This window comes from Homo sapiens, chromosome 7 (genome assembly GCF_000001405.40).
Source record: "Homo sapiens chromosome 7, GRCh38.p14 Primary Assembly".
Lineage (NCBI taxonomy): Eukaryota > Metazoa > Chordata > Mammalia > Primates > Hominidae > Homo > Homo sapiens.
Genome location: NC_000007.14, coordinates 25,271,607 through 25,283,822, shown reverse-complemented (window position 1 = coordinate 25,283,822; position 12,216 = coordinate 25,271,607).

Below are 12,216 nucleotides of genomic sequence, written 5' to 3'. Positions count from 1 at the left end.
TCATAACTCCCTCTCGAATTAGAGCTAAGAAAGATTTGAACTTCAAAGGGGAACTCTTCAATTACAGGCAAATCTGAGGGCTTTTCTGGTAACCTCTTAAAATTCTGAATTCAAAAAAAAAAGAAGATGACTTGTATTTCAGAGCAAAAGCAACCATGAGTAAATAGCAGTCTGTCAAAGGATGCTACATGTGAAAGTGAGAGAGGAGCTCATTGGTTCATTTCTTTGAAGGCAGTCCCAGGATAACTGGCAACTCAAAACTCAGTAACATTTCAGCGGAGGCCCTAAAACCCAAAACAATTACCCACTGGCTCTTCTGCTGGCTAAGATTTACATCTAGTGGGTTCATCAGGACAGATACCACAGAGGCTCTGCAAAGAGTACTATGGAGCTTAGTGACTTCAGAGCTTGCTCTTGGAATATTTATCATTTTAGCTCAGTCAATAGCTAGTCCTTTGCCAGTGAGGAGATAAGCAAGCAGTCTTAACAGTCTTGATCCTTTCAAAAGATTTTTGTTCCACAGAACACTGGGGAGCAACCATCTTCCCTCCAATGCCCATCCAAGCCTGGGAGAGCGAACAGGAGATATTTTAGACCTTTATAAAAATGATTCACTTATATAAGAAAGAAAAATCTTAACTAAATAGGAAGAGATCAGGATAGAAAACATCCAGAGAGAGAGGTTTAAGAGCAGTGCCAGTTTGTTTTGGCATGATGGACAACAAGGCGGCTTGTTCTAATTGCGACTTGTGGGGCAGTTCTAGTTGAGGAAGGTAGACGGAGGCACTTCCACCTACAGCCACATAAAAGCAGAACTGGCGTCCAAGGGAAAACTGTGACAGAGCAGGATGGGTTTCTCACAATCCATTTTTGTCTTCATTCATTTAATAAATAAAACTCCAACTCTGTATAGATTCACCTCTGACATATGTAAAATAATATTTGAGCTGGGCTTTAAAGCATAGGTAAGATTTGGACCTACAGACAGACTATTGGAAAGTACAGTATTTTTCTCTGCATGACAAACAAGAAGCCAACTAAATCATTGGGTAGAGTATTTGTCAACCTTCGCTGCATCTATGAAACCCCTGGGGAGAATTTTTAAAAACCAATGCTTGGGCCTCACCCTCAGCTATTTTGATCTAATTAATCTGGGATGAGACCCAGGCATGAGTAGTTTCATTTTTTTGAGGGCTGCCCAGGTGATTCTAACGTGCAGCCAGCACTGAGCATCTTGAGCTAGAACACAGCAAACATGGAACCAGTATTTACCTTTGGAAGTAAGTATGTTCCTACTAAAACTTGATAAGAATCCAACTGCCAGTGTGTCATGGCTCACGAATTGACACAATTTCCTTATAGATAAGAGTAGGGGGAAAGACAATAATAAAACACTGACTTCAACATAGCCAAAGTCCTCCGGGAATTCCATGTGTCAGAAGAGGCAATAACACAGGAACTTTATGGGCACCATTTGATGCTCTGGTGGACTCGCTGCCAGAACAGCTCCTAGCGAGAGGAGCTGAGGGAGAAACTGGCCACGTGGAGTCGTAGTGGGCAAATTCAGGGTGTGCACACGCTGCTTTGAAACCAGAGTCAGGAGCACCTGATGGTCTCACCATTGCGGTGGCCTCTGTGAGAATTTAACAATGAAAACATGGGATTTTCTCAGTGAGAAGGAATCTTTCAAAGTTTGAACTTTAAGAGGTTTTAATATCCCAATCTTAGATGAGCCGAGTGCTTGCACTGGGCAACAACAGGGAGTGTTAAGTGTGAGGCTTGGGACTATGTCTGCAGTGGATTCACATTGCTTTCAAGTGGTCTCCTACTATAAATAGGGTAACTTGTGTTCCAGTTATCTATTGCTACATAACCTTCCACCCCAAACATCCAGTGGCTTAATGTGTTGTTCTCTCTGAGTTCTGTGAGTTGCCTGGCTCAGCTGGCTAGTTCTCCCTTGGTTCTGTTACACAGCTGTGGTCAGATAGTAGCTAGAGTCTTCTGAAGCCTCAACTGGACTGGACGGACATCCAAGATGAAGCACTCACATGGTTGGTTAGCCATTAGCTGGCAACTCAGTGAGGACTGTCCACTGTAGTGACCATGTGAAGCCTCTTTATGTGGCTCAGTTCTAAGAGACAGGAAGTAGAAGCTTCCAGTCTCTAAAATCCTAGGCTCAGAAACTGGCAAATACTGCTTCCACCATATTCTATTGGTCAAAGCAGTCACAGAGCCTGCCCATATTTACAAAGAAGAGATGAGACATAGACCCCATGTCTCAAGGGTGAAATGTCAAAAAATGTATAGCAGTCTTTAATTCTCCACAACTTGTGAATAGATTAGCCCTTCTTATTCTCAACACTGTATATTTGAGCTTTAAAAAGTTATTTTTACATGGTTCTCTGATAGCAACTCCCGCAGCAAATATAAAAGGGCAATAACTATACTATTCTTCATTGCAGATGCGTTGCCTGTAAGTTTGAGTTGTTTTTTCCAGCAGTCAGGATGAGTTGGCATCAAGCATTTCTTCTCTCTGTTCAGTCCCCTTTTTGGCCAAAAGCAAAAGTCTGCAAAGACAGGTGACCCGGGTGAAAAACAGTCAGTGGACCAGGGCACAGGTCAGAGCCACACGCAAGGGCCAAACCCATAGCTTGGGCCTTATAGCCACTCTGGAATTTTTCCACAAATTGTGACTGTTGGAATTCTGCCAACGTCAGCCCCACAGTCCATAATGATCCAGTGCCCAACAGTTTCTGCATCGCTAAATGTTTGTGGGGCTCAGAAATCAATATTTAATCACACTTAGCCAGAGCCCAATATTCTGTGAACTCAGCAGTGTATGTTTTTGGTTGCTGGGTATATAAAAGCTAACATGAGAAGCAGAACATTCGTTGGAATGAACTGCATTAAAAATATTACCACTGTGGTACAAATCACTGTTAATGACATTGATCAAGTGCTCATTTTGCAAGGGTCCCACCCTACCAAGAGTTTCAAGATGGTAGAAAGGAAATGGAAGACAGTTTTTTTTTTAACCTCAGAAGATAATGTTTCTCCTTTTCCCCACCCCCCGCCTCAGCTCTTCACTAGGAACATAACAGCTGGATTACTTTCCAAAATCTTTGTCAGCTTTAAAATCCTGTTCAGAGTAATGGGAATATCAGCTACACTTGATTTCCTGGTAGGCAATTGCTAGTTCAGCGAGGAGCGTATTGAGAGACCAAAAAGGCTTTCTCAACCATCAAACCTTCTAAACTATTTGAAAATCACAAAGATCTGAGAATCCTGATGTTACAGTCCAGTCCAGGGCTGGTTGGCACGGGTGTTTCAGGCAACATGCTAATGAGGTAAGTCCAGTCTTCAAGTGCCTTAACCCAAAATTCACATAGCAGGTCCTATAGTTAAAACATAAATGATGGGAGTTTACGTGAGGAAGTGAGAGTAATTAGCACAAGGGCTCCACTGTGCTTAGCAAACCCACCCAAAATTCACACTGCACAACTGCAGATATTGACGTGGAGATCAGTGGAAACACACACACTCACAACTTTGGAAGTTATATTCTGCAACTTTGCCTTGTTTCTCCACATAAATTCATCCTGAGAAAGAGAAAAGTAGGACTCTGACATCCCAGGAGATAAACTAGTATGATTGGGTAGGGCTTGGCCTTCTCCTGTTGACCATAAACAATTTCACAAGAAATCAACATCAGACAAGATCACTCCATGGCCATATTAGACCAAGAAGAAACAGGACCACTCGGTAACTACATCTGAACAAAACCAAACCACAAAATACCAAAAATCCCTCTCTCCCTGCTTACGTGAGTGACTCCTGCTTTGTTCCCAGTTACAGCTTTAGCTTTGCTGCTCTCCCTCAAGATTTACTGATAAACGTCCAATTCAGAGTGAACTTCCAATCCTTGGATCCTCCCCAAGTTACCCAACTAAAGCCCAGATCCTACAAATCCTTTCCAGCATTCTCTTACTGAAACTTTCCAGGCTCCCCATGGAGAGATGAGTAATAAACGCAACTTTTTCAAGCACAGGTATGGTCCTTCACCAGAGGGCATTGACAGGAAATATAGACTTGGAGTGAAGGTTGGAAAAGTAGGACCATGGATGTCTTGCCTTTGGCAGAATAGGGCACTAATAGTAGTGTAGCATAGCTGGTGTTTTAGTCAGGGTTCCCCAGAAAAATAGAACCTATAGGATACATAGTGAAATATCAAAGGGGGCTTATTAGGGGAATTGGCTCACTTGATTATGGAGGCTGAGAAAACCCATGATAGGCCATATGCAAGCTGGAGAACCAAGAGAGCCAGTAGCATGGCTCAGTTCAGGTCTGAAAGCCTCAGAACCAGGGAAGCTGGTGGTGTAAGTTTCAGTCCAAGGCTGAAGGCCTTTTGATGCAAGTCCCAGAGTCCAAAGACCAGAGAACCTGAAGAGTTTACATCCAAGTGAAGAAGGGCATCCCAGTTCTGGCAGAGAAATAAAATTCACCCTTCCTCTGCCTGCCTTTTTGTTCCATCTGAGCCCTCAGCTGTTTGGATGGTGCCTGCCCACGTTGAGGACATATCTTCCCCACTCAGTCCACCAACTCACACACCAATCTCCTCTAAAATACCTGCACAGGCACACTTGGGGCAGCCCAATCATTCTAATCTAATGCAAAACCACCCTGGTTTCCCTTTCAGCAGAAGTATGGGCTCAGTGCCTACTGAGTATTGGGAATAATTATTGCTTTACCTGCTATCCAAGTATTCCTTAACCCAGCCAAGTAGGCATGCAAAATCAACCACCACAGCTGGAATGGTGGTTATGTAGCCATTTTCTTCCAGGTTGCCATTTTGCAACCGCATAAAAACATCACTACTACCATTGATACAATCTGTATGAGTCTATGTAAATATTGGCTGTGCAGTTGGAATCTGCCTTCACCCCTTAAAAAGTAGATGTTCTCTTCAGTCCAAATTGGATTTCTTCACACATATAATCTGCACACCTTACATGCTATGATGTATCTTTATACTCAAAGACTTCTACATTTTTCATTTTGAATACAAAATAATGACATCCAGACTCTCATTTGAAGATTCCTGGCAGACTAGAGCACCACCTGTTCTTGATGTTTTTTCCCCAATCAATTAAGCATTTAAATTGTTTCTCATCTAAATTGAATTTGCCTTTTTTTTCAAATCCTTTTTCTTTCCCACAGCCATCAGCCATATCTTCGTAAGCAACTGTTTAATATGCTAAAGAAACAAAAGTGTAGTTGTAGGGAGGTGGAAATCAGAGAGGATAGGATAGAATGGTGAAGAAAAACTGTAACCTAGTTCTAGACCTGGAACTCACCTTATATAAGGTGAGCTTGGACAGGACACTTGGCCTCTTTAGACTCTAGTTTCCTCCTCCATAAAATGAGGTGAAGATGAGGTCACTAAACTTTCACAAGGTAAAATTGTCACTGTACTCTTATTGCCCACTTTTACTTCCTCATGTCTCAGAAGAAGAGCAGGAGCCCCATCTTCATTCTAAGACTTTCCCTTCCATTTGAGACCCAAGTTCATCCTCCCTGGCTTCCATCAGGATGTTGTTCTTTCTTTTGAATCTTTAATTCCTTTTTTTTTTTCATTAGCTTCTTCCTTTTTTCTACCAAAAGCCCAGCTTCCAATTCACTGTCAAGAACCGTTAACCACACCTGTGGTCTGTGGTTCACACCTGTAATCTCAGCACTCTTCAAAGCTGAGGTGGGCAGATAACTTGAGGTCAGAAGTTTGAGACCTGCCTGGCCAACATGGCAAAACCCTGTCTCTACTAAAAATACAAAAATTCACCAGGTGTGGTGGTACATGACTGTAATCCCAGCTATTTGGGAGGCTGAGGCATGAGAATCACTTGAACCTAGGAGGCAGATGTTGCAGTGAGCCAAGATTGCACCATTGCATTCCAGCCTGGGCAACAGAGGGAGACTCTGTCAAAAAAAAAAAAAAAAAAAAAAAAAAAAACAACCAATAACAGTTGACTTTCTATGGCTTCTTTCTCCATAATTCAACTAGTAGATTGCCCACTGATTCCACATTCCTTCCTTCACAAATGGATCCCGCAGATCCATTTGAAACCATCCCAGTTTTCAAGTGACTGGGAAAACAGGAATCAGAGATTCTGATGGCTCAGTATAGACTAAAGGAAACATTTTGTGTTCAAAGTCACATGTGTTGGAAATGAATTAACACAGCAGCATTACAAGGTATAGTAATCAATATATAATTGTGTTCAATTATTTGTTTGAAGCAGACCATATTTCTATTTTTCCATTAAATTAATTAGAAGCCTTAATGAAAACGTGTTTGGAACACATAATTTGCATGAATTCAATTTTTAAAACTTAATTGGCATTTAAGCAAGTGTTTTTTTTTCAACCAGCTACCAATTCATTTCTCTTGGTTTATGGTTTTATTTATAGTTGATTTTGTTAAACTAGAAAAATTATGGTAATTTAGCTCTTCCCTAAAAGAAGCTAGGCGGAACTTACAAGGCCTATGCTGGTGAAAGTAACAGAAAATCCGTTTTTTATAATTTTCTTTAAGATAGAAAGTATGGCATTTACCCATACCCATATTTTGGGTGTTATCCAAAATAGCAGGTAAGGAAACTCTAGGTTTGTCTCCTCTGCTCCCACACTAACCAAGCCCTGAACCTACTTTCCTGACAATCCTCAGAACTATGGAATTGGCAATGAACAGCACTGGCCAAAGCTATCGCAGCTTTCAAGTGCTTTTAGTAAATAATCTCATTCTATCCTCATCACCCTGGGGAATCAAAAGGGGCAGGTAAGCAATCTATTTTCTCTTCCCAGTTTCCTAGTATCATATAAAAGATCATCTTCCTCACCTTCATTCATGAATTCCAAAGACATTTATTGTGCATTTGCTGTATGCCAGCAGCTGCTCCAGGTCAGTGGTTCTCAAAGTGTGGTCCCCAGACCAACACCATCAACAACACCTGGGAACTTGTTAGGCACATTTTCAGCCCTTCCCCATATGCCAGACTTTGAGAATGGCTATTCTAGACTTTCAGCTACAAAGGTGAGTACTCAAGCCGTGGCTTCGAAAGATTCTCTGGGTCAGTGGAATAGACAGACAAGTGAATAAATCATTGCAATATAATGAGCTATATCCACAATAAGAACATAGAAGAAAAGCAAAGTGAGACAACCAATAGCATTCAAGAGAAGGCCCACCAACCTAAAGCATGCCTTGTGAAGACCACAAAAAAAGGAGTAGAACAAGCAAAAGCCCTCTAATCAGGTGTGGGGTCTCAGGTAACCATCTACCTCCCTGGGTCCCAGGGTGCTCATCAAGGAAGCAATGACCACATCAAAGGTGCTGAAGCGGAATCTAGTCCAAATAGATGATCTGTGAAGCTCCTTCCATGTTCTGTGACTCTCTGCCCTCATTTCCAAGGAGATTATGGTCAAACCTGAGGTCAAATATCAAGAATACATGAAAGGATAAATGAAGAGGTTGTTGTGGTTCATTTTCTTTGGGGAAATCCTCTGTGTCGATGGAAGATGGGAACCTTTCACTTTGTTCAATACCAGTCCCTTATAACACCAACAGCTTCCTATTGGGTAAAAATGCAGCAACCACCCTCATCTTTCTGACCTTGACTATGAGAAAAGCGGCCTGAAGACCTTTCTGTAGTGCTCATCCATGCGGACTTCTTGATGGGACACTCCGTGCAAACGTAAACACATATTCCTTAGGAACAGCTGCCATCTGGATAGCACTTTTCCATTTGGAAAGTGACTCATCTGTGTTATCTTTTTTATGCTTATCAACAGTCCTGTGACCCAAACATCTCTTTCATTTCTCACTAAGAAAAAAACTCAAAAAAGGAGTGGTGTTATGAGTTCAATTGTGCCACCCCCTCCAAAAAAAATCCTTCATATGAGGAAGTTGTAACCCCCAATGCCTCAGAATGTGACCATATTTGAAAAATGGTCATTGCAGATATAATTAGTTAAGATGAGGTCATATGGAGTAGGGTGAGCTCCTAATTCAATATGGCTGCTGTCCTTATAAAAGGGAAGATTTGAGCACATATGTGCACACAGGCAAAATGCTATGTGACAGATGAAGGCAGGGATGGAGATGATGTTTCTGCAAGCCAAGGAACGCCAAAGATGGCCAGCAAACCACCAGGACTGAGACAAGAAACATAGGTCAGATTCTTCTTCACAGCCCTCAGAACGCATCCTACCCACACCTTCATGTTGGACTTCATTCCTCCAGAAGTGTGAAATGATAAAGTTCTGTGGTTTAAGCCACCAGGTTGTGGTACTTGGTTATGGCAGCCTTCACAAACTAATACAAGCAGATTCACCAAAATCTCTGAGGGGCATTGGGCACAAGTGGCTTTCGTGCTGCCCCATTGGAGAAGACACAAAGAAGAGTCAGTGCCCCCCAACTCTGCTGCAGGCCACACGAAGCTCCCATGTCTCAGGGACTCCCTGTCATTAGCAGTCATGCCCAGGGCCATACTCAAAGGAAACAGCAGAACCGGCTGGCACACTGGCGTGCTTGAGGGACCTGGCAGTACCCCAGAAGGAAGAATACAAGTTGAAGGAAAGAGGGGGCGCTGAGGCTGCTACTTGTCTGGGAAGGAGTGTGACAACCTCGTGCCCCATGGGAGTCCCATGAACACATTTGGGGGTCTTTACTTAGCAGGAGGCACAATTTCCCCATCAATGAAGAGACTAAAAGTCACTGAAACAACCAGTTTAATCTGATCAACATTTTTATTAAGAAAATGACCCATAACTGTGAGTTCTCTGCTGGGATTGCTCTGTTCTTCTTGGGAAAAGCAGTATACTCTCACTTCCTATATCATTAAGAGAAAGTTGTTAACCGGAATCTTTTTGTGTCTGGAGAACACGGCAGTTTGGCAGGATTGCAGAGAGGATGGGAGGAAATGGATTCTGAAAATATTAACAACTTCAGTCAGCTATTTTGACCACCAGTCAAGTACAGCTTATACAACTGTTTCAAGATGAAAAATGGGAAATAAAATGAGAAAGGAAGAAAGAAAAAATAAAACAAAATTATGATGTAAAAATATCGAGTCAGTCACTTGCAATTTTCTATGTATCCTAAATAAAATGTATGCTTCATTGCAAGGTAGGGCATTGTTTAATAATGCAAGATCTTGTTCTTTTTACAGAGTGTTAGAGCAGACCCATAAAAAGGAGTGCAGGGAACATTCAGAGGGAAGCAACAGGCTGGATAATTAAGCTGTCAATACATGTAAAAAAAAAAAATATATATATATGTATGTATGTATGTATGTAAATTCAGGGCCCCCCAAATCAGTTTGTGATCAGAGACTGTCATGGAGCACTTGAGAATATTAGCTTAAGTTCACAGCAGACACACAGGAAATGAAGATTCTGGTGGTTTAAAAGAAGATATAATTTACAAATATTATTAAAAGTATAACATTTCAGGGTGTGTATTAATTATATAGTTTTAAAAGATACTTGAAATTATTTAATTACAATTATATAATACTATAAGAAATAAGTATCATAGAGGTTTTCATAATCCAGTATTGAAAAATTGCTAAAAACTATCAATTCTGGGTGTTAGAAATATTTGTTACTTATATTATTCTTCGCCATCTTCTGTTTTCAAAAACATATCTCTAAAGCATTCTTATAAAGATCTTTTATCCTCATATCTAACAAACATTCTGACTGCAGATCTGACATTTACTAGCATTGTGAGTTGGGGCAAATGTTTTACTCTTTCTGCATTGGTTCTTCATACGCAAAGTGAAGTTCATAATAACGTAAGGTTACTATGAGGATTAGATGTGTTGCATATAAAGAGGTGATGTTAAATAGCAAGGATGCCCCAAATAGTGATTACTCTTATTCCTGAATCTCCTCCCCAATGTATAGTCATTCAGCCCCGCCAGGAACACTTTGAACTGTGATGAGAAAATCTCACCTTCTAGGCCAGTCTGTTATGTTTTTAAATTCTTCATTGTCAGAAAGTCCATTTAATGGTCTTCCTATAACTGTCACCAGTGGTCCTTGGGGTTACAGTGTTCTTCCACTCAACATTATTTTGGCATTAAATTCAGCTAAGAACCTTCCACTCAGCTATACCTTTCCCTATCTCCAAAGCTTCTCTTTTCCAGGTTAAAATGTCTCAATATCTTTATCATCTTAAAAGATATTTAATTTTGAGTTCCTGTACCATGATGGTGAGTTTCCTCCAAGCATACTTCCTCTGCCCTTTATCTCTTTAAATTGCAATACCTGGAGGTCAGAATGAAGCTGAACTTCCCTTTCCATCCCATATCTTTACTCTCAATCATGGATGGGCAAACATTTTTTATAAATGGCCAGATGGTAAATATCTTCAGCTTTACCACCCATACAATCGTTATTAAACTACTCAACTTTGCCATTGTAATGCAAAAGCAGCCATAGACAGTACCCTGATACATGGGCATGACTGTGCTTCAATAAAAGGTTTTTTGGGTTTTTTTTACAAAAACAGTAGGCGGGCTGTATTTGACCAACACGTCATAATTTGCTGAACTCTGTGTTTGATGATATTCTCCCAGTAAAGAAGGAGTCCCAATGGCCTTTTTCAATAGCTTCATCACACTATCATATCTTTTGTCATACTTGCCACTGAACTATGTCTCCAACAATATGGCATCAATTTGAGCGCCCTTCTAGGTGCAAAGAAGGACATAGATAAAAGAATAAGAGTTCGCCAACCTCATCTCTGTAGCAGAGAGGAGCATGTCAGAATACTGCAGAACAGATCCTTACTGCCAGTTTCTGCACAGATACGGCAGCAACCAGTCTGCACATATCCATCCAGATGCCACCATAACTGAGTTTAACACAGACAGAAGTTAATGAAAGTTTTCTACAGATATGCAGGAGATTTGGAGATCACAAATGGAGACCTTTGCCTTCATCTGTTACACATCATCTTGATAGATTCAGCTCACCTCTCCAAACTGTTGGGTCGTTCTTGGATAATCATTTTATTATCTAAATGTGTAGAGTCACATCTGTTCTTCTCTTTTGTTTATAAATTATTTTCTTCATTATTCATAAGATGTTTGCATCATCCAGGTATTTACATGGTACCAATTAATTAGTTGCTAATGAGGCACAAAAAGCCATCCAATTACTTTCAGCAGTAGTTCATAATTCAATCCAATATTTTTTGTTTACTCAGACTCAAGAATGCCCTTAATTAAGATTTGCTGTAATTTCCTACCTTGATGATTCAGCTTCTATAGCGTCACTTCCCTATTATCAGCACGCAAGTGAAAAGAACACTGGAGTGTGAGTCAAAATGCAAATACCAGTCCCATTTCCGTTATTTTTTAATTTGAGAGCTTAAGTAAGCTAATTAAGTTCTCTTCAACTGTATCTCTTCATGCATAAAATAGAGAAAATAATACTTTCCCTTCCTTCCTCACAAGTTTCATTTAATTGTCAAACATGGACATGGATTTGAAGGTTATTTTCTCCGTATATGTAATATGCTTATTATATAGAAAGATACTTACATATACTGTTAGCAGGGAAAGTAGGTCACAGACCAGTACTACCATATAATCTTAATTTTTCTAGAGAGAACCACACAAAAATGTTAATAATGGTCATCTCTCTGTAGTAGAATCATGAGTGAAATTTATCTTGCTGCATTTTGTTTATTTGTAATTTCTGTTTTTGTACAATTAGCAATTACTACTCGCATAAAAATAAAAGGGCAAATTTTAGAACAATTGTTTATTGAATTATAAAATAACACATGTTAATTCATAACATTAGAAAACTACAGAATTGTATAAAAAATCACAGATATTAAAATGCCCTTGCTGGACTGTTAATACAACCCAGAAAAGAGTTGCAGTAAGCCATCTCTAAGGCTGAGTTCTTACATCCCATGGTTCTTGATACTCGGTGAGTTATCCTAAGCAGCTGAATAACTATATGCATCAGTCAACATTTTTAGTAAATTTCCACGGCAATTTAAATAAGGAATTAAAACTGCCATGGCCCATGTAATTACAGTTGAATCATAGAGAGCTATTTGGGTTGGCACTGCTAAAACTTCTGTTGTGATACTCTTAAAATGAACAACAAATAAAAAGGTTGGTTTTTGGAGGACCTACA